The 21,343-nt window shown below is 42.7% G+C and overlaps 1 protein-coding gene across 25 annotated transcripts in view; it reads left to right on the plus strand.

Moving 5' to 3' along the window:
- SPECC1 (sperm antigen with calponin homology and coiled-coil domains 1) overlaps positions 1 to 21,343 on the plus strand; it is a 309,668-nt gene that overhangs the window by 247,420 nt on the left and 40,905 nt on the right. For all 25 annotated transcript variants that reach the window (NM_001386083.2, NM_001386078.2, XM_047437065.1 and 22 more), the window contains 2 exons: positions 673 to 829; positions 3,414 to 3,516. In NM_001386083.2, the coding sequence (NP_001373012.2) occupies positions 673 to 829; positions 3,414 to 3,516 (260 nt within the window). The remainder of the gene's footprint in view (positions 1 to 672; positions 830 to 3,413; positions 3,517 to 21,343) is intronic.

Genomic DNA, 21,343 nt, shown 5'->3' on the forward strand with positions numbered 1-21,343 from the left:
CTGAGACAGAGGATCATTAGGAGGTCAAGTCCAAATCCAGCCTGGGCAACACGGCAAGACCCTGTCTCTAGAAGAGAAAAAGAAAAACAAGTATCATCTGGAGGATTCAGTTCATTTCATTACCTGTTTTTTGACTCAGACTAATATGACAGCAGAAAGGAGCCTTGAAAGAGTGATTCCTACTTCTTGTTTAGCAAGCCAGGCCCTATGGCTAGAATGGCCTTTTCTCTTGTCAAGTAGTTCTTCTTGGTTCCCAGCTTCTTGTTTATTGCTGCCTGTGGTCTGATCATCACTTGAGGCATTTTCCTGCCACTCTCTCTCAGATGTCTGTCAGTTAAAACAAAAGATACTACCTGGGGACAGGGCTGGCTTCGTTGGCACTTGCACAAGGCCCTTAGAAGGACACATGCTTGGTGTAATGCTCTGATGACATCATCTTGAAATTCACAGTGATTTTTGAGCAGGAGGTTGATTTGGTGCTAGATGCTGTAAATGATGTAGTGGTCCTGCCTGTAGAATCCACATCCCTATTGCATTTTTATTACTTCAGAAACTATATATATGTTTGCACTTGAGGATAAAATGAGAACTGTATTGTATTTGAGAATGAAGTATGATGGCAGTCAAGAGCTGCTTCTTTGGGAATGAGTGATTATGTGGTTGTTCCCACAGATATTCTAAAGGGAAGGACTGAGACCCTGAAGCCAGACCCCCACCTCCGCAAGAGTCCCTCACTAGAGTCACTGAGCAGACCCCCGTCTCTGGGCTTTGGGGACACAAGACTGCTGAGTGCTTCCACCCGGGCATGGAAACCACAAAGCAAACTCAGGTATCGTGTTTCAAACAATAAGAAATCAGAAAAACATCGGGCTAATCACCTTTTATTCTTCCTTCCGTTTTGTCCCCGTGGCCAATTTACTTCTACAAATATTTCCTGCATGAAAATGACTAAGACACTGTGCCTGCCCTTGGTGAGTCTAAAAGGATGACAGTGGATAGTAGTAGTGCGCAAAATGGAATTAAGGGCTGTAAAAAACAATACTGCATAAGCAAAGTCTTGAGAGGTTGTTAGTTGGATCAAGAAGTCTAGAGAGAAGTGGTGTTTCTGCCAAGGGCTCTAAAGGTACCATTACAAGCACGCTGTGGAATAGTGATCAGGGAATGTGGGTGGTGTCATGTGTCTGAACTAGTCTGTGGGCTTCCTGAGAGCCGGGACTCTGCTGTACATATGCATAACAAGCTCTCTGTCAGTATTTGTTGGGTGGATGGATAAGTGACTAGGACATTCCATCTGGAGGGCATATTGTAAGTAGTCTTCATTGCTAAGGAAGAGGTTTGTGCATTATTTTGGTAAAGCACTGGAGTACCACCAAGTTTGTGGGATTTTGTTTCGGATTTTGAGGTTGTACAGTGAGATTGGACCTGCATTTTAAGGAGGATTCATCAGAAAACAGTGGTATATAAGGATTGAAGAGGCATTTTGAAATCAGTGTTTAAGAAGGACTGTCACAGGGATGTAAAGGAATGGTTGGCAGAGGGAGAGGATGGCAAGACCAGCAGGGTGGTCACTAAGAGCTTGTCTTTGTTCCCACACCTCTGTCACCTCCTCCCTTTCCAGTGCCCCTGGTCGCCCAGGCCACAGCAAACCTCTTTCAGCTGCTTCCTCTCCCCTTGTGACTTCCCTGCTTCTCTGTGTTGGTTAATTTTCTGATGCACTGAGCACATCCTGCTGCAGACCTTGCAGAAATCTCACATGACTCTGTCATCTGCACTCCTCATCCTGGTCTTCTAGATGCCCCACAACTTAGCACCACCCCACCCACCTGCCAGAATGGCCCTGTTCCTCCCTCCACCTGAGCCTGTTTTAGTTTCTGCCTTTGTAATAGAACATGACCATGTCTGATTGCAAGTCTTTATGTATAAGGTTCTAGCCTGAATCGTTTTTCTTTTCTCCTTTCATACTCCAAATACTGCTTCTCCTTCAAGGTCAAACCTTTCATGAAGTTGTACCTAACACCTGGCACATTGACATATCCCTTCTCTGACTTTGGCGTCTTACACTTTTTTGGGTGTTTAGTTTTTGTACTGCTTTGTAGTGTGGAACACTGTTGCACAGTACATGCCATTGTCTCCATTTATGCTATAATTTAGTTGACAGTAAAAGTTCAACTTACATTTTGGTATCTCTTCCAGCCCCTTGCATTGTGCAACACACATAGCATTTCACTTAGTAAAACTTACGAGTGAGTAGATGGATTAATATACAAAATTGGCTAGTTTAGGAGTAATAGCTTTTTAATAAATCTTATAATCACAAATATGGGTATTATAGAAGGATTTATAAAAGTCTGAATAAATTCAGGTCTTGTTACACCTTTGGGTACAGCATATATTTGGACCCAAATAGATGAAGTCATGTGTTTCAGAAGTTTAATGTAAAGCCCCAGATACTACATATTGTCCTGTTTATGTGCAAGAGATTTAAATAATCAAAAGAGGTTTTAAGGACCAGAATTAGTGCTGTTCTGAAGTTGCCGTTTTCTTTATGCCAGAAATGCATACAAAAAGGCTATATGTATATGAATATGCTATTGATATTTTACCTTTTTTAATGAAAAGTTAAATTAGTAAAATTCTTATTTCAATTTTACACTTACGTTATTGACATAAACAATGGCAAGATATTTGGTGTTTTTAATATGCCCTTCCAATGCACCTTTAAAATTTATTTTATTTTATTTTTTGGAGATGGGGTCTTGCTCTGTTGCCCGGGCTGTAGTGAAGTGGCACAGTCATAGTGCACTACAACCCTGAACTCCTGGCCTCAAGCAGTCCTCCCTTCTCAGCCTCCTGAGTAGCTGGGATTAGAGATGCACACCACCATGCCCAGCTAATTTTTTTATTTTTTATTTTTTTAAAGATGGGGTCTCGCTATGTTGCCCAGGCTGGTCTTGAACTCTTGGGCTCAAGAGATCTTCTTCCCTTGGCTCGTAAAGTTCTGGGATTATAGATGTGGGCCACTGCACCCAGCCAATCTACCTTTTACATGTTATTTAGGTACTGGTTTAGTCTTGAAACATGTAGGGTGTGTTTTGTTTACGTATCTTTAATTCAAATGATACTGTACTTAAGTAAACAAATGAAAGACTAGATGGATGAGCAACAAATGGATTTGAAAACAAAATGTAACAAAACTCTCCCCAAATTTATGATAGTCAGGAAGCACAATTTAATTTTTATTTTATACTGTGAGATATCACAAAATAGTAATGTGACTAATTCGGCTGTTTCTTTAGAATCTTGCTGGATAAACTAGACTTTTGCTTTTCTAAAGTAGGTATTTATTTCTTGTGTATTTGAGAATTCTAAGTATTAGCATCTTCTCCTTACCATGTGCTCTTCTTTCTAACCAGTGTGGAAAGAAAAGACCCTCTGGCAGCCTTGGCCCGGGAATACGGTGGTTCCAAGCGCAATGCTCTACTGAAATGGTGCCAGAAGAAGACACAAGGTTATGCGGTAAGGGACAACATCAGCCAACTTCCAGCTGCCCCTGGGCAGTAGTAGTCCTGTGCCAATACATGTTCCTTGTGTGCCTGTGCTTGATGGGCCAATATGCATGTAATTGTCATCTTTCTATTCTCCTAGGCAGGGCTGCCAGGGAATGTTTGATATTTGTGCACTGCCCAAAGGCACCGTGACAGAGGCAAATGCAACTGAAAAACGGTCTGCACTCCACCCACCAAATGTATGGCTGCACGCAGAGCTGCACCTCCCGAGGGAAGGGGACCTTTTTCTTTGGTCAGAGTGTTACTGGCCACAGGTTCTTGGGCTGTCAATGCGATAGAAATTGTCATGAGGCCAAAAGAGTTTTCTCAACAAGGCTTTATTGGAGCTTATGCCCTTATCCCTCAGGCATGAGGGAGGAAGCACGGGAGAGGGAGGATTCTCTGGCTGACTCCTTGAAATGAGCTGGTAGGGATTTTTTTATTAAGCAAAGTGCAGGAATTGATATCAACATAGAGAATGTGGGCTGGGCTGGGTAGATCATATGAGGGGTAGGGGATGTGGGTCAGTTTATCTGCTGGCGACGGTTGTCTTGAGTCATGGGCCACCTAGTGTTCTGGTTGGTGGCAGCAAGGCTGTAAATCAGTTGTTTAGCATTCTTCCCTGAGATGAGGACATTTGCAACTTTGGTTGGATATGTTGGATTTCCTAGGGCCAGTTTCTGGAATTATTTAAGTAAAAGAATTAAACATTCTTTTATTCTTTTAAACATTATGAGAGTGCGGAAAAACAGTATGGCTATTTTCTTTGCATGACTGTTAAGCAGGTATGTCAGTGAAGTAGTGGTGTGGGTTTTGTGATCAGTGGGAATGCATGAAAGAATGCTATAGTGGGGATGAGCTGAAGCCAAGTCCTGTCCCTGCTGTCTCAGAAGAAGACACAAGCTCCAGTGGCTCACGCCTGTAATCCTAGCACTTTGGGAGGCCGAGGTGGGCAGATCACGAGGTCAGGAGATCGAGACCATCCTGGCTAACACAGTGAAACCCCATCTCTACTAAAAATACAAAAAATTAGCCGGGCGTGGTGGCGGGCGCCTGTAGTCACAGCTACTCGGGAGGCTGAGGCAGGAGAATGGTGTGAACCCGGGAGGCGAAGCTTGCAGTGAGCCAAGATTGCGCCACTGCACTCCAGGCTGGGCGACAGAGCAAGACTCCGTCTCAAAAAAAAAAAAAAAAAAAAAGCAGACACAAGCTCCCCGAGCAGTGATGCCTCCACCCAAGAAGACAGCTTTTGCTGAATTACCCTCCTGAAGAAGAGTGCTTTGCCTAATTCGCATAAAGGTCCTATGTAGTTGGGCCTCCAAAACTTCTCCAAACATTTTGTTTCTATTGTTTTGAGAATTGTTTGCGTTTAGTTTAAGAGTTTTTGTTTTCTAGGACAGTATCTGTTTTCTGTGAATATCAGAAAAGGGAAGTAATACCTGATGTAAGTTTAAGTTTTTTTCTTGTGAAATACACAAAGATAAAATGCACAAAATATAAATCATAATTTCTTGAACTGTGAGGAAGTGAAAAGTCATGCAGTCACCACTCCCATCCAGAAGAGGAGCATCACCAGCTCCCACAGACCCTTCCTATGACTTTCCCATCATAGCCCTCAGTACTCCCTAAGATAACCATTGTCCTCAATTCTCCTTCCAGATTTTTACAAAAGTATGCATCCGTAAGTACTATGTTAGTATTGCTTGCATTTGAATTTTATTACAAATGGAATAAAAAACTATGTAATATTTGCAGCTAGCTTTTTTTACACGGTATTGAGTCAGTGAGATTTATCCTCATTGTTGCATATAGCTGTAATTTGTTCATTTTCTTCACCATTTAGTAACCCATTGTAGGATTATACCATTATTTATCCATTCGATTATTGATGGAGAGTTGAGTCATTTCTAGTTTGGAGCTATTATGAATAACGCTGTTATGTTCTTGTGCGTATTTCCTGAAAAACATATGTGCTCATTCCTGCTGGATACATGCTTAAGAATGGAATTCCTGGGCCATAGGGTATGCATACAATCTAGTGGATAGTGCCAAACAGATGACTGAAGTAATTGTATAATTTATGTCTCTCCAGCAATTTATGAGAGATTTATTTCTCTGCATTCACATCAACACTTGGTATTGTCAGTCTTTTTACTCAAGGTCATGTGGGTAATGTGTAGTACTGTCTCACTGTGGTTTTGGTTTGCATTTTCCTGTTGGCTGGGGAGGCTGAACACCTTTTCATATGCAAATAGATACCCTCTTTAAAATTGGCAATTCCTACTGCATTCTTAACAATATTTTGCTAAAATTTCGGAAGATTCCAGCACCGTAATACTCCCTTCCCAGGCTGAAGCTTTTGAGGGAGGTGGGGATGGAAAATGAAAGAAGCTAGCAAGAAAAACCCAGCCTCAGCCAAGATCCATCCCAGATAGTAAATTAGCAGGGCTGGGAGTCTCTGTCATGTCAGCAGTCAGATGTCTTAAAACCAGAATCTACCCAGAGTATGTGTATCCTGTATCTTTGCCATTACCTTCTTTTCACTTTATGTTAAAAAAGAAAAAGAATCGCAGCACTTTGAGAGGCCGAGGGGGCAGGATTGTTTGCGCCCAGGAGTTTGAGGCTGCAGTGAGCTGAGATAGCACCACTGTAGTGCAGTGTGGGTCAGAAAAAAGAAAAGAAAAACCTGTCATGCTACTGACCAATAATAGAGGCTCCCAAAGTATAAACTCGCCTCAGACCCTTGTTTATTCTTCCTGCTACCCTGTCCACTCTGCCTCTGCCCTGTTTCAAGGATGGACCATGCCATGAAGGAAGGCCTCTTGGTTACAGCCTCCCCCAGCCCATCAGCCACGCTGCCGAGGACACGGGAAAGAATAAGAAGCCATAAGAACCAATAGCTATGACTTCTTATTCTTTCCTGTGTCCTTGGCAGCGTGACTGATGGGCTGGGGAGGCTGTAACCAAGGGGCCTTCCTTCATGGCAGTTGAACAATGTGAACACTTGGACACAGGAAGGGGAACATCACACACGGGGGCCTGTTGTGGGGTGGGGGGAGGGGGGAAGGATAGCATTAGGAGATATACCTAATGTAAATGATGAGTTAATGGGTGCAGCACACCAACATGGCACATATATACATATGTAACAAACCTGCACATTGTGCAGATGTACCATAGAACTTAAAGTATAATAAAAATATATTAAAAGAAAATAAATAAATATCAAGAAGGAGAAAGAAAAAAAAAGAATAAGAAGTCAGAGGGAGGCAGCTGCCTGCAGGAGGTTTAGCGTAAAGAAAATAGGAATGGTGATGGGAAATTGAAGAAAACATTTAAAAAGAGCTGTCATTCAAGAATGACTCCACTGATGCCGCCTGTGCTGTTCCCCACCTGACAGTAATGGACCAAGGCAGCTGCCAGAGTGCATATGAAAAGACAATTCACGTTTTCAGAAGGAGTGGCCTTCTATGATGTAACCTTGTTGTAATGCAGGGAAGAGACAGACAATAAGATGTTTCCAGTCAGGATCACAAGAACACTATTTCCTGCTGGAGTGATTTGTGTGTGTGTGTGTGTGTGTGAACATTTTGGATTCGTTTTCAAAACATTTTACGTTTGATGAAACCCAAAACTCATTTTGCCTGTAGTACTTTTCATTCATCATGAAATCTCTGTAAAATTAGAAATATGACCATGTGTCTGCTTTATTTACCCTTCACAAAATATGTCTAGACCTGTTTGTCTGAGACACCTCATAGTCTTGTTCTCTCAGAATTAGGAAGCCAAAAATAACTGGTGAAAACTTTTTGAAAACCGGGAACCATGTGTACTTGACTTAAAATAACTTTCCTTTTATTTCATCAAAATACAGCGTGAAAGGTTATGTTACATCCCTCCATATATATATATTTTTATTTCAGCTTTAGTTATAGATTCAGGGGGTGAGTGGGCAGGTTTGTTACAAGGGTATATTGCTTGATGCTGAGGCTTGAGTTATGGGTCCCGTCACCCAGGTAGTAAGCATAGTACTCTGTAGGTAGGTTTTCAACTCAGGCCTTCTTCCCTTCCTCCCTTGTCTAGTAGTCCCCAGTATCTATTGTTGCCATCCATGTGGCTTTTTTTGGAGACGGATTTTTTTTTTTTTTTTTTTTTTTTTTTTTTTTGAGACAGAGTCTCACTCTGTCACCCAGTCTGGGGTGCAGTGGCACAATCTCAGGTCACTGCAACTTCCACCTCCCAGGTTCTAGCAATTCTCCTGCCTTAGCCTCCCAAGTAGCTGGGACTACAGGTGCACCCCACCACACCTGGCTAATTTTTGTATTTTTAGTAGAGACAGGGTTTCGCCATGTTGGCTAGGCTGGTCTCGAACTCCTGACCTCAGGTGATCCGCCCACCTTGACCTCCCAAAGTGCTGGGATTACAGGTTCACACCTGTAATATACATAAAGGGCTACTGGATACATATACATAAAAAGGGCCACTGCACCTGGCCCTTTATATCCATATGTACTCAACGTTTAGCTCCCACTTATAAGTGAGATGTGGTATTTGGTTTTCTGTTCCTGCGTTAGTTTGCTTAGAATAGTGGCCTCCAGCTGCATCCATGTTTTTGTTCTTTTATATGGACATGATTTTTGTTCTTTTTTATGGCTGTGTATTTCCATGGTGTATATTTACCACATTTTCTTTATCCAACCCACTGTTGGTGGGTACTTAGGTTGATTTTATGTTTTTTCTACTGTGAACAGTGCTGCAATGAACATACGAGTGGTAGAACGACTTATTTTTCTTTGGGTATATACCTAGTCATGGGATTGCTGGGTCAAATGTTCTATTTTTAGTACCTTGAGAAATCTCCAAACTGCTTTCCACAGGGGCTGAACTAATTTTATTCCCACCAGCAGTGTATAAGCATTTCTTTTTCTCCATGGCCTCGCTAGCGTCTGCTATTTTTTGGCTTTTTAATAATAGCCTCCTGGCTAGTGTTAGATGGTATCTCATTGTGGTTTTGATTCGTATTTCTTTGAAGATTAGGGATGTTGAGCGTGTTTTCATGTTTATTGAATGTATATATGTCTTCTTTTGAGAGGTGACTGTTCATTTCCTTTGCCTATTTTTTAATGGGGTTATTTGGTTTTTGCTTGTGGATTTAAGTTCTTATAGATTCTGGATATTAGATGCATAGTTTGTGAATATTTCTTCCCATTCTATGGGTTGTCTGTTAACTCTGTTGATAGCTTCTTTTGCTGTGAAGGAACTCTTTAGTTTAGTTAGATTCCACTTGTCAATTTTTTATTTTGCTGCACTTGCTTTTGGGGACTTAGCCAAAAATTCTTTGCTAAGGCCAATGTTGAAAAAGTTATTTCCTAGGTTTTCTTCTAGGATTTTTATAGTTCGAAGTCTTATATTTAAATCTGTAATCCATTTTAAGTTAATTTTTATATGTAGTGACAGGTAGAGGTCTAGTTTCTATCTTCTGCGTATGGTCAGCCAGTCATCCCAGCAGCATTTGCTGAATAGGGAATTCTCTTCCCATTGCTTGTTTTTGTCAAAGATCAGATGATTATAGGTTTGCAGCTCTATTTCTGGATACTCTAACTTGTGTATGTGTCTGTTTTTATACCAGTGCCATGCTGTTTTGGTTACTGTAGCCTTAGAATATAACATGAACTCAGGCAATGCGAGTCTCCAGCTTTGATCTTCTTACTTAAGATTGCTTTGGCTATTCAGACTCTGTTTTGGTTCCATATGAATTTTAGAATAGTTTTTTCTAATTCTTTGAAAAATGACATTTGTAGTTTGATAGGAATACCATTGAATCTGTAAAGTGCTTTGGGCAGTATAGCCATTTGAATGATACTGATTTTTCCAATCCATGAGCATGGAATGTTTCTCCATTTATTTGTGTCATAGCTGGTTTCTTTCAGCCTCCTTCCATATATTGTTCAGCTCCAGGTAATATTGTAGGTGCTGGGGGCCGGGCGCGGTGACTCACGCCTGTAATCCCAGCACTTTGGGAGGCTGAGGCGGGTGGATCACAAGGTCGGGAGATCGACACCATCCTGGCTAACATGGTGAAACCCCGTCTCTACTAAAAAATACAAAAAATTAGCCGGGCGTGGTGGCACGCACCTGTGGTCCCAGCTGCTCGGGAGGCTGAGGTAGGGGAATGGCGTGAACCCGGGAGGCGGAGCTTGCGGTGAGCCGAGATAGCGCCACTGCACTCCAGCCTGGGCGACAGAGCAAGACTCCGTCTCAAAAAATATATATATATATTGTAGGTCCTGGGGATTCCACAGTGAATGAAACAGGCAACAGTCCCTGCTCTCATGGAACTTAAATCCTCATGGGGTCTGGCAGTTAACTGAAATAAAAGGTAACATATGTACGGTATTTGAAGGTTGTATTGCCGTGGAGAGAAATAAAGCAGGGAAGGAGGGTTGGGAATGTTGGGTGAATGGTACAATTTATACATAGTGGTCAGGGAGATGACATTTGAGCACTTGCTCCCCTCTCTTGAAGGGCTTTGGTGTCTGCATGAAGCTTTATTTCCCACCAAGGCCTAGGTGTGGAGGGTCAGAGTAAGGAGGTCATTACTGTCGTTACTGTGCCAATAGAAGCTGAAGTGACACACGGTGGTCGACCCAGGTCAGCAGCACTGGGAAGTGAGCATCGCAGCCAGACCCACCTGCCGAGCTCCGGGCCAACTGCCTGACATCTCGAGTGGCCCAGGATTGAGACCCAGTGAAAGGATGTGAGTTTGCCCTCACTACGAAGTGAGGCCCAGTTCACTAAGCTCAAAATGGCGCTCCTAGGAGGCCCTTCCTCACATTCTGCTCAACTCATACACACTGGTGTCTTTTTGGAATAAGTCACTCCTGGAAAGGCCCTCTAAATTACTCTCAGTCCTCAAATTTCATACTCCTGATGTGTGTTGGCTGTTTTCCAAGCCAAGGGCAGGCCTGACTCAGATAACTCCTACCCCTCCCTTTCTTTCATCTGAAAGTCTAGTTTAAGCTCCTAGTTTTCTGTTACGATGGAGAGATTTCCATTTGTAATTTCCAGTAAGAATTCTGAAGGGACAGAAAGTCGGGAGGGTAGGTGTGACAGGAAGAATTCTGAAGATAACCCCCATGACTCTCCATGGTAGAATGTCCTCCTCTTTATATGACACAGGGAGATGGTCTGGATATGCCCACTAATCACAAACCCCTGTAGAAGCCAAGTGATGTCTCTGGCTTGTGGCAGAAGTTGGGGAAATTCAAAGCATGAGAAGGACTCTGATTGTTCTTGGTGGTTTGAAGAGGGAGGGGGCACGTGAGAAGGAGCCAAGAAGGGCCCCCTGGCTGGCAGCCAGCAGGAAACAGGGACTTTCTAGCACTAAAGCATTAGTGCTGAGGTCCTGGCCGTGCCCAGAAATTGCCATGTGGGTGCTCTGGAGTTTTGAGGTTGACAACTGCAAGTTGTGTGTAGTGCCACCGGGTCCTTTGTCTCCTCCTCTGTCCTGATGCCCTCAGACCTCAGCCAGGCCAGGGACGCTCAGTTTGCTTTGCCTTCTGCTTTCCCTCAGCTGGGGGATCTTGGGCTGGAAGTCACTCTGATGAACATGTGGAATTCAGCTCTAAGTCTCTCCTGAGTCCTCTGTTACCTCCCAGGAGGCATGATGAGGCACAGCTACCCTTCACCTCCATGGGTGGCATGAAGATACTTGCAAGTATCTTTTAGACGAAAATATATACCGGTATTTACTGTTACTTGAATTCCTGTTTGGTTCTTGCATTTCAGATCAAAAGAAAGAAGAGTTTAGATAGGGATTTACTTGAAAATGTATCTGTATCTGTTCCACTTTTGAAATTGTATGGCAAGAATTCAGATAGCAGGCGACACCTACACTATCATTAAGGGACAGATGACGTCTTTGAACCAGGTTTTAACCTGTTAGCTCAGACCTATATCTTCTTCTCTTTTGGAGAAAAAAAAATCAGTCTTTGTGTGTCCACACTGAATTTTGCTTTGAATCTGGAAAGAACACCCATGTTGCAGGCAACTTCTGTTGTTCTGTCTCTGAGTTCCCACAAACAAGCACTAAAATCTGCTTAGCCAATAGCAAGCAGCCTCTAAAATATCAGGTCACTTGGGGCTCTGTTTCTTATATTCTTTTTTGAGACAGATCTCTTGAAGGCTACACGCACAATTCAAAGAACATAAAGCCTTTGATTTATTTACTGCCATCAGAGTGGTCCTTTCCCTGACTTAGATGATAGAGTCTCAATAGCAGATGCGCGGCACTGTGGGCTTCCACTCTATTGAGGCCTTTTCTACCCACTTTCTCTGCTTCTGTACCGTTTCTGACACAGTGGTCTGTGAAGACATTTTCAGTGGCACAGGTGTTGTCCTACAACCTGTGACAACAGTGGAGTTTGTTTGCAAAATAAAGATGCAAGGCTTTCCCATGTTGTGGGAGACACAGTCCTCTCCTGGTGGCCGTGTTTCTGGTTGGTTTTCTCTCACGAGCCAGTGTGCTGTGGGGCACCCGCTCCCACTCCCACTCTCAGTGGTGTGTGCATGCCCAGAGGTATGAAACTTCAAGGAATAAAAGTGGCTTTCTGAACAAAAATATCAAAGTGTGTAGAGACCTGTCAGACTGTTCGCACAGCAGATGGGGAGGGACACGTTCTCCCACCTTAGTCTGCACAAACACCGAAGAAGCAGCCCTGACAAGTCTAAGCTGGGCACATCCCCAATTCCTTGGGAATTTTGGAAATAAAACTGAGAAAGATTACTCTAAAATATAAAGCCCAGATGCTATTGGCAGCCATGTTTTTGCCTCTGTGCAAAAAAGACTTAACCCAGTAGGCCTGGGACGGCTCTCTTTAGCAAGGCTGCTTGCAAGGCTGGCCCTTGGCTGGCGTCTGGGAACTGGGATTACAGGAGGGTTCCCATTGTTTCCAGAACTGATGAGAGGGGCTCACGGTGCTGAAACTGTTTGTGCAAACACATGGTATGTGCTGAACAGCAGCTTTCCTTTGGGGAGTCTGGAATGTAGTATGTGCTGGGCAGAAGGGGCTGGATGCTGAGTCCCTAGTGAGCTTCCCTGGTTGGCAGCATTTTTTCTTGAGATGGGGTTTCAGTCTTGTTGCCCAGGCTGGAGTGCAATGGCACCATCTCGGCTCACCACAACCTCCGCTCCCGGGTTCAAGATTCTCCTGCCTCAGTCTCCCGAGTAGCTGGGATTACAGGCATGTGCCACCACACCCAGCTGGTCTCAAACTCCCGACCTCAGGTGATCTGCCTGCTTCGGCCTCCCAAAGTGCTGGGATTACAGGTGTGAGCCCCTGCACCCGGCCGGTTGGCAGCATTTCACACGTGTTGTCATGGCTTGTTGCCAGGGGAATTAAACATGTCCGTGACTGCTGGAGAGAATTCTTGGAAGCACGTGCCTGGTTTCCTCGGGACTTCCTGCCCTGTGCCTTTTCCCTTTGCTGATCTGGCTTTGTGTCCTTTCGCAGTAATAAATCTGTGAATAGCCGTGGCCATGACTCCATGCTGCGTCCTGTGGGTCCTTCCCCTGATCATTGAACACGGGCTTTTTATTGAGCCTTAAAAAGGAGTAAGGCACTGACACAGGCTGCAGTATGAATGTTCCCTGAAGACGTGTTGCCAGGTGAAAGAGCTGGGTGCAAAATCTACATCTTGTATGAGTCCATTTATAAGAAATATCCAGAATAGGCAAATTCACAGAAACAGAAAGCAGATGAGCGGTTGCCAGAGGCTGAGGAGAGAGGGCAATAGGGACTGGAGTGGCTGCTTAGTGGGTACAGGGTTTTCTGTTGGGTGATGAAAATGTTCTGGAACTAGGTAGTGGTGATGGTTGCACAACATTGGGAATGTGCTAAAAGCCACTGAACTATACACTTTAAACTGGTTTAAAATGGTGAAAGTGATACATTAATTTTACCTTAATTTTTTTTAAAAAAAACAGTGTTATGAACAGACACGATAGCTCATGCCTGTAATCCAGACACTTTGAGGGGCCAAGGCAGGAGGACTGCTGAGACCAGGAGTTCAACACCAGCCTGGGCAACATAGCAAGGCCCTGTCTTTACCAAAAAAAAAAAAAAAAAAAAAAAAAAAAAAAAAACATTAGCCGGCTACGATGGTGTACACCTGTGATTCCAGCTATTCAGGAGGCTGAAGACAGAGACTTACTTGAGCCCAGAAGTTCAAGGCCTCCGTGAGCTATGATCACACCACTGCACTCCAGCCTGGGCAACAGAGAGAGACCCTGTCTCTGGGGAAAAAAAAAAAAAGTGTGCCATGATGATGAATATCACTTACCATGCATTTTTATGCTTATGCTAAATAGTTGTGAAATAGTGCCAAATTTTTGTAAAGTAAGTTCCTAGAAGTGAATTTGTTTTTGCAAAAGGGTGTGTTACACTTTCCATTTTAATATATATTCTCAAATTGCCTTCATTAAGGTTATTTAGTTTACACTTCTCTATACAGTGTACAAGATTATACATTCCCAATACTGGATACACCTACTCTTTTGATCTTTTTCAGCCTAAGAGGAGAAAATGGCATTTCTTTTAATTTTTCATTGCAGATGAAGGAGAAGCACTTTTTATCAACTTGTTAGTTATTTATATCTTTCTTCTGTGAATTACTACTACAGTTGCTTTGCTTGCTTTTCTATTTGTATGTTCATCTTTTTTCCTCAAAATTTGTGATAGCTCTTTTTGGTTTTCTTTTGGTTTTTATTTTTATCAAAGCTCTGCATGCCCACAATCAGGTATGCAGAGATCCTGATGAGCAAAGCAGTCAGCCGGCCTGAGAGCTCTGCTTCCTGCTCCCCAGAGTCAAGCATTTTCAAGTCACCTTGCTGATTTTTTTTTTGTCATTTACCTCTACGTTGCTGACTAGCACGTTTATCAACTGCTATTTCTAGTTTTTCATTTTAGATGTTGTATTTTGATCTCCTACTGTGAAAGATGAGGGTTTATTTCTTTTTCACTCCCACCCCCCCCATGCTTCCTGTCTTTGCATTCTTTCATGGTTGTACATATCTGGAGTTCACATTAAGATGCTGTGAGTGTCATTCATAGATTAGCCATGTAGTAGTATACACTGCTGCAGCTTTTTCTTTTACACAACCTGTTACTTGCCTTACACTTAAAATCGTCTTGTTTTTGTCTGTTTACTTAGTTTTGTATGTAAATGATACTCATTCAACCGCAACTCTTCATGAGATATCCCCACACATCACAAGGGTCAGGGGTTGCAGCTGTGTTATCCTGAGGAGATCTCTCTGGAGCCTCTGACCTCTTCCATCATGGCTGCCCTCTATGCCTGGTGCACAGAGTCCCTGTTAGTTCTTTGCCTCTCTCTTTTTTGATCTTCTGTATCCTACATCCTATTCTTTTTTTTCCCCTTTGTTTTTTTTTCCCTTTGTTTTTTTTTCCCTTCAGTATCTCCCTGAGAATGAGTTCATAGATGGTAAAATTTTATGACCTCGCATCTTTGTTTTACCCTGATGCTTGATGGTTTCTTTAGGTATAAGATTTTAGGTCAGAAATTATTTTCATTCATAATTTTGTGGGCATCGCTCCATTGTCTTCTATTTGCCAGTGTTGCAGCAAGAAAAGAATGATTACAGTCGTTTGTGATTTTTTTTTCCTCTGCAAAAGCTCATAGGAGGTTCTGGTTGTCTCCAGGATTCTAAAATTTCAGGGTGATGTGCCTTGCTCTATAGCTTAAGTTTTGTGTTTTCTATCATGCTAGGCACTCACTGCACCCTTTCAATATGTAATTCATGACTTTATTTTCTGGAATTATTTCATTGGTAATTTCTTCTACTCTGTTTTCTTTTTCTGGAAATCCCCCTGGCCTGGCCCTCTAATTATCATATTCTTTTTTTCCCCTATTTCTATCTCTTTGCATTACAGTTTTGTTTTCTGGGAGGCTTCCCTAACTTTAATCTTCCAAATTCTATTAAATGCTTAATTTTGCATTTTTTTTTTTGCTTTTGCATCATTTCAATTGTTTTTTAATTGTGAAATGTACATAGGATAAAATTTACCATCTTAACTATTTTTAAATGTACAGTTCAGTATCGTTGAGTATGTTCTCATTATTGTGTAACCAATCTCTAGAATGTTTTCATTTTGCAAAACTTAAATTCTATACCCATTAAACACTAATCTGACATTCCCCTCTTCCCCCAGCCTCTGGCAGCAGCCATTCTACTTTGTATCACTATGAATTTAACCACTTTAGGTACCCCATATAAACGGAATCATACAGTATTTGTCCTTTTGTGTCTGGCATATTTCACTTAGCATGATGTCCTCAAGGTTCATCCATGTTATAGCATGTGTCAAAATTTCCTTCCTTTTTAAGACTGAATAAAATTCCGTTGATTATATTTGCTATCATATTTTTAACTTCTAGGATTTCTTTTTTATTCCCTGAAATTTTTTATAGCATCCTGTTCTTGTTTCACAGATACAATGTTACATATGAATTTCACTGAGGATTGTAGGTTGATTTTATCACCAAATCTCTCTATGCAGATTGTTTCCTACAGTCCCTTTATTCCATTGGTATCTTTAGGTCTCTATCTTTATGCTGGAGGTTTGACTGCTCATGTTTAGGTGGAGGCTCTGCAAAGCTGACCCCCTCCCTGGCCTGCGTATGAGGCCTGCGACTATGTTCCTGTGGCATATCCATGACGAACTTCTGGTGTCAGTGTCTTTAGGTGGTCCTTCCTCTTGGGCACATCCATTCTCCAGAGAAAGGCCTTCTAGTCTCCTGCTGGAGGACATCAACCTGGCAACCAGAATTGTGGGACCTAATCAGAAAAGAGGCCTGTGGGCCAGGCACAGTGGCTCACCCCTGTAGTCCCAGCACTTTGGGAGGCCGAGGTGGGTGGATTGCTTGAGGCCAGGAGTTCAAGACCAGGCTGGCCAACATGGTGAAACCTCATCTCTACTAAAAACATTAGTGGGGCATGGTGGTGCACGCCTGTAGTCCCAACTGCTTGGGAGGCTGAGGCATGAGAGTCTCTTGAACCTGGGAGGCGGAGGCGAGATCGTGCCACTGCATTCCAGCCTGGGTGACACAGCGAGACTCTGTCAAAAAAAAAAAAAGAAGAGGCCTGGGGGTGGAGAGTGACTACCTCAGCCCTCACCATGTAAATTCACTTAATTCCCTTGTTTTCACTGCATCACTCATGCCTCCACTGCTCACTGTCCTCTGGGTGTGCACAGAAGAGAGAACGTTTGGAGCTTTGGCTGCTCTATAAACAGATCTCCAACCCATTCTTCCTGTTTTTAACCACCTTCATTCCCCCACCTGAAGCACCTCTTGCCACCAATTTCCTGTGTCTTTGAGGGATTTTGCACCATAAATCAGGTTGGGTCTTTGCCCTTCGCCACTGCTGGCCTGGGATTTAGTTTGCTTCGGTCTGTTATGTTAGTTATCTCTTGTCCATTGACTTTTCAGCTGCCAATGTTTTGTCTTTTTGCTTTCTTTCATGTTCCCTTTTTCCTTGTCTGTTAATGCCTTTGGAGGAAAAATTCCTTTCTGTGGTTTTCTGGGGCTTCACGAGGGGGTGAGATTGTGAATGCATGCGTTTCATTGCCATCAGCCTGGAGGCCTCAGAGAGCTTTATTCCTTTCTCCTTAAGGATATTAACCATTATCTGTCATAGAGGTTCCAAGTACCCTTTACATATATACTATATTATATACAAATACACACACCCTTTTGTTCCTTCTGGAGTGCATTTGTGTTTGTTAGGTCAAGTTTTATTTTTCCCCCAGATGGATGGCTATTTATTTCAGCATCACTTATTTCATCATCTCTCTTGAACTAACTGATAGGCCTAGGTATGAATGGGAACTGAGTGGTGTCTGGACTTGCTGTTCCCTTCTGTGCCTCTGTGGGTCTGGCCTCTGCCACAGGTTGCTGCCGAGCAGAGAAATGAGAGCAGGACCTGAGTGCGGCACAGCGCCCTGGGCCTCAGCCAGGGTCCTGTGAGTGTCAGTCAGTGCTGTGGCATGCGTTGTTTTGATGAATTTAATGCCCTGGCATTTTTCATTATTTGATTATACTTGTTGGTTTTCTAGGTAAACTATTACACATAACAATAGTTTTGTTTCCTTTTTTTCTTTTTTCTTTTTTTTTTTTTTTTTTGAGAGGTAGTCTCAAAAAAGTCTCGGCTCACTGCAATCTCCGCCTCCCAGGTTCAAGTGATTCTCCTGCCTCAGCCTCCCTAGTAGCTGGGATTACAAGCACGTGCCACCACACCTGGCTAATTTTTTGTGTTTTTAGTAGAGACGAGGTTTCACCACATTAGCCAGGATGGTCTTGATCTCCTGACCTTGTGATCCACCTGCCTTGGCTTCCCAAAGTGCTAGGATTACACACATGAGCCACTGTGCCCAGCCTTGTTTCTTCTAATATTTATACCTCTTGTACTTTTTTTGGTTTATTGCATTCATGAAAGTCCAGGTCACTGTTGAATAATGCTATTGATGGTGGATATTCTTGTTTTATTTTCTGTTCGTAATAACAGAAATAAGATTTAATAATATTATTAAATAATTTAATAATAATTTAATAATCACCTAAATGAGATTCTTGTATTGTTTTGTGATAAATACTCTATCAACTAAAGGAAGCTTGCATCTGTTTTGAGCTTACCGGGGGATGTTTTAAGTCCAGAAATAGGTAAGAATTATATCAAATTCCTTTTTAGCTTTTAATGAGCTATCCATATGGTTTCTTCTCTTTTGACCCATTTATGTAATTAATAACATAAATACATTTACTAGTAGGGGAACATTTGTACATATCTGGGGGCAAAATTCCAACTTGGTCATGGTATACTATTCCTGAAGGAAACTCTACTTGATTGTGGTTATTCTTTAATGTGAAATATACGATTTTTTATACTCAGTTATTGATGAGACATTTGGCTTCTTGTTGGTTGCTTTGGTATAAATGAAGTTTTGTCTCAATAAGGCCTGTTTTTGTTTTTGTTATGATGTTAGTGAGCTCTAAAACCCTGTATCATCTGTATATAGTAAAAAGTGCAATAGGTATTTATTTTACCACCTTCTGTAGTAGGATTAATGACAGAATTAATTCTTAGCCAAAGAGAATGTTTTATACTCTAGTTGCAAAGTTCTGTCCAGTCTGACAAATGAAAACCTGAAAACCCCAAAAATGTTGTTGGGTAGAAGTTGGGAAACCTTTCATTTAAGCTTCAGACAATTTTTGTGAAAAGTATAAGAGTGAAGACTTAACATTTTTCCTGGAACTGATGCTCTTTTGTTTTGATGAAAGTCCTCTGAAAGGACTTGTTAGTTGCATAGAGGTAAGGCTAGGCCCCTGCCTATTCTCAGGGCTCAAGGCCTGAGCAGCCGAAGGCCCATCAGTGGTCCCAGTTACCTCAGTGGGAGCTCAAGTGTCCCCTGTCCCCATGTGGCCACTTGATCTGCTGGATTCTGAGTCAGGTGTGTTGAAATCTCTTACTCTGACTGTGGTTTGTGTCAAAAGCTTTGATTGCTGAGAGATTATGTTCCAGATATTTTGAACCATACGTAAAGGTTTCTTGTTCTATCTTCTTGGTGGTTTTTACCTTTTACTTCAGTTAATCCTTTTGATCTAGAAGCTTACATTTTATATACCAATATTGCTATTTCCATTTATGTTTTCTGTGCATTTTATGTTTTGCATTTATGTTATTTGCATGATATATCTTTGTACTTTCTTTCCTTTCTTCTCTTTTTTTCCCCCAGAGTTGGAGTCTTGCTCTGTTGCCCAGGCTAGAGTGTAGTGGCACAATCATAGCTCACTGCAGCCTCCACCTCCTGGGCTCAAGCAATCCTCTTTTCTTAGCCTCCTAAGTAGCTGGGTCTACAGGTACATGACACCACACCTGGCTAATTCTTTAAAAAATTTTTTTAGAGACAGGGTGTTGCTATGTTGCCCAGGCTGATTTTGAACTCCTGGGCTGAAGAGATCCTCCCACATTAGTCTCCCCACTTAGCTGGGATTACAAGTGTGGAGCCACTTTGCCCAGCTCCTTTATTTTCAGCCTTTCTTAGTTGGTTGTTTCAGGGTTATGTCTTATAAATAGTTTGGCTTTACATGTAATCTGAAAATTCCTCTAACAGGGCAGCTTAGCCTGTTCACATTTTCTTGTGGCTGTATGTGTTTTATCTTCTTCCTCTGTCTCACTTTCTATTTTTAGTAGACTTCTCTTGCTGGCTTCCTTCTTACTGATTCCCAGGCACCTAGCAGCGTGGTAAGGTGTGTGAGTTGAAGAGGTGGAAAAACCCAGGCCTGAGACTCTGAGGGGTAACCACAGTGGAATAATCATAAAGTTTAAAGCTAGAGTCTGTTTTTGTTAAACTGGAGCAGAATCATAAATCAAACACATTTTAAAAAATGCAGAGCTACAGAGCCGGCTGCATTAGTGAGAAACAGCCCCGTCGGCCCCTTTGGGGTCAGAAGTCAGAATTGGAGGCAGGGCCTGGGCCCAGTTGCTCTTGCCAGGGCTGCTTTCTGGGGTAGAATGGAGGAAGAGCCATGGGCAAGGGCCAAGTCCACTGGCCACTGTCACCAGGGGAGCAGCCCGAAGTCAGGGCCGTACCTGGGAACAAGAAGGACTCCAAAGACCTGGAGCAGATCTGGAGCACTGTGAGTTGGAGGAGTCGGGCTCGGATAGCAGCCTGCAAGGGTGAGGGTGCTGAGAAAGCAAGATGGACAGAGAGGGACAGATGTGGCCCATTCAGGGATCCAGACCAGTGTCTCATGGCATCTGATGTCTAGTCACCAGCATGCATGGGGACATGCCTGGACACTTGGGCTGATGCTTCTGCATGACTGAGCCTCACGGTAGCAGGGTGCCCCTGGACAGAAACAACCACATGACCAAGCAGAACTCCTTAGCAGCCATTTAAAAGGATAACTGGAAACTCTCCAACCTAATTGGGTAAGATGGCTTACCAATTTGCTAAGTAGGGCATATGCTTAAAGTACTTTTTAAACTTTTTTTTTAAAATGATGCTGCTAAATGAAAGTATGTTTAATTTCACAGGGAGGATCTGTTTTTGCCAAATGAAGTTCACTTAGCTCCTTTTATTGGTGCTTTGGGGAAGAGGGGGTGTGGTCTGTCCCTTTAGCCTTATAGTTCTTGATCTGGTTTTTCTTTTTTTCTTTTTTATTGTAAAATACACATAACATGAAATTTATCATTTTAACTATTTTAAGTGTACAGTTCAGGGGCATGAAGCACGTTCACATGGTTGTGCAACCATCACTGCTTTCTATTTCCGAAATGTTTTCATCATCCCAAACTGAGCTCTGTATGCTTTAAACACGGGGTAGGGGACTCCATATTCCCCGCCCTCAGCGCCTAACCACCGTTCCGCTTCGTCTCTGAATTTACCCATTCTAGCCACCTTGTAGACGTGGACTTACACAGAATGTGCCCTTTGATGAGGGGCTGATTTCACTCAGCACAGCGTCCTCAGGCCCACTTATGTTGTGGCGTGTGTCAGCCACGCTGCTTCTGCATCCATCTGTCCACCTTCTCCTCTCCATAGTCCCCACCCCATCCTGGGTCAGGAGTTGTGATTTTTCCTTGTGTCTTCCAGAACCAAAGCTGGGAGATCGCCTGCTACCATGGCTTGAAAACCCTTAACGACTCTGCAGCCAGCAGAGTTGGACCCATATTCCTGGCCTGTGTGAAAGACCGGCTTTTTTTAATGGGACTATTT

This window comes from Homo sapiens, chromosome 17 (assembly GCF_000001405.40).
Source record: "Homo sapiens chromosome 17, GRCh38.p14 Primary Assembly".
Lineage (NCBI taxonomy): Eukaryota > Metazoa > Chordata > Mammalia > Primates > Hominidae > Homo > Homo sapiens.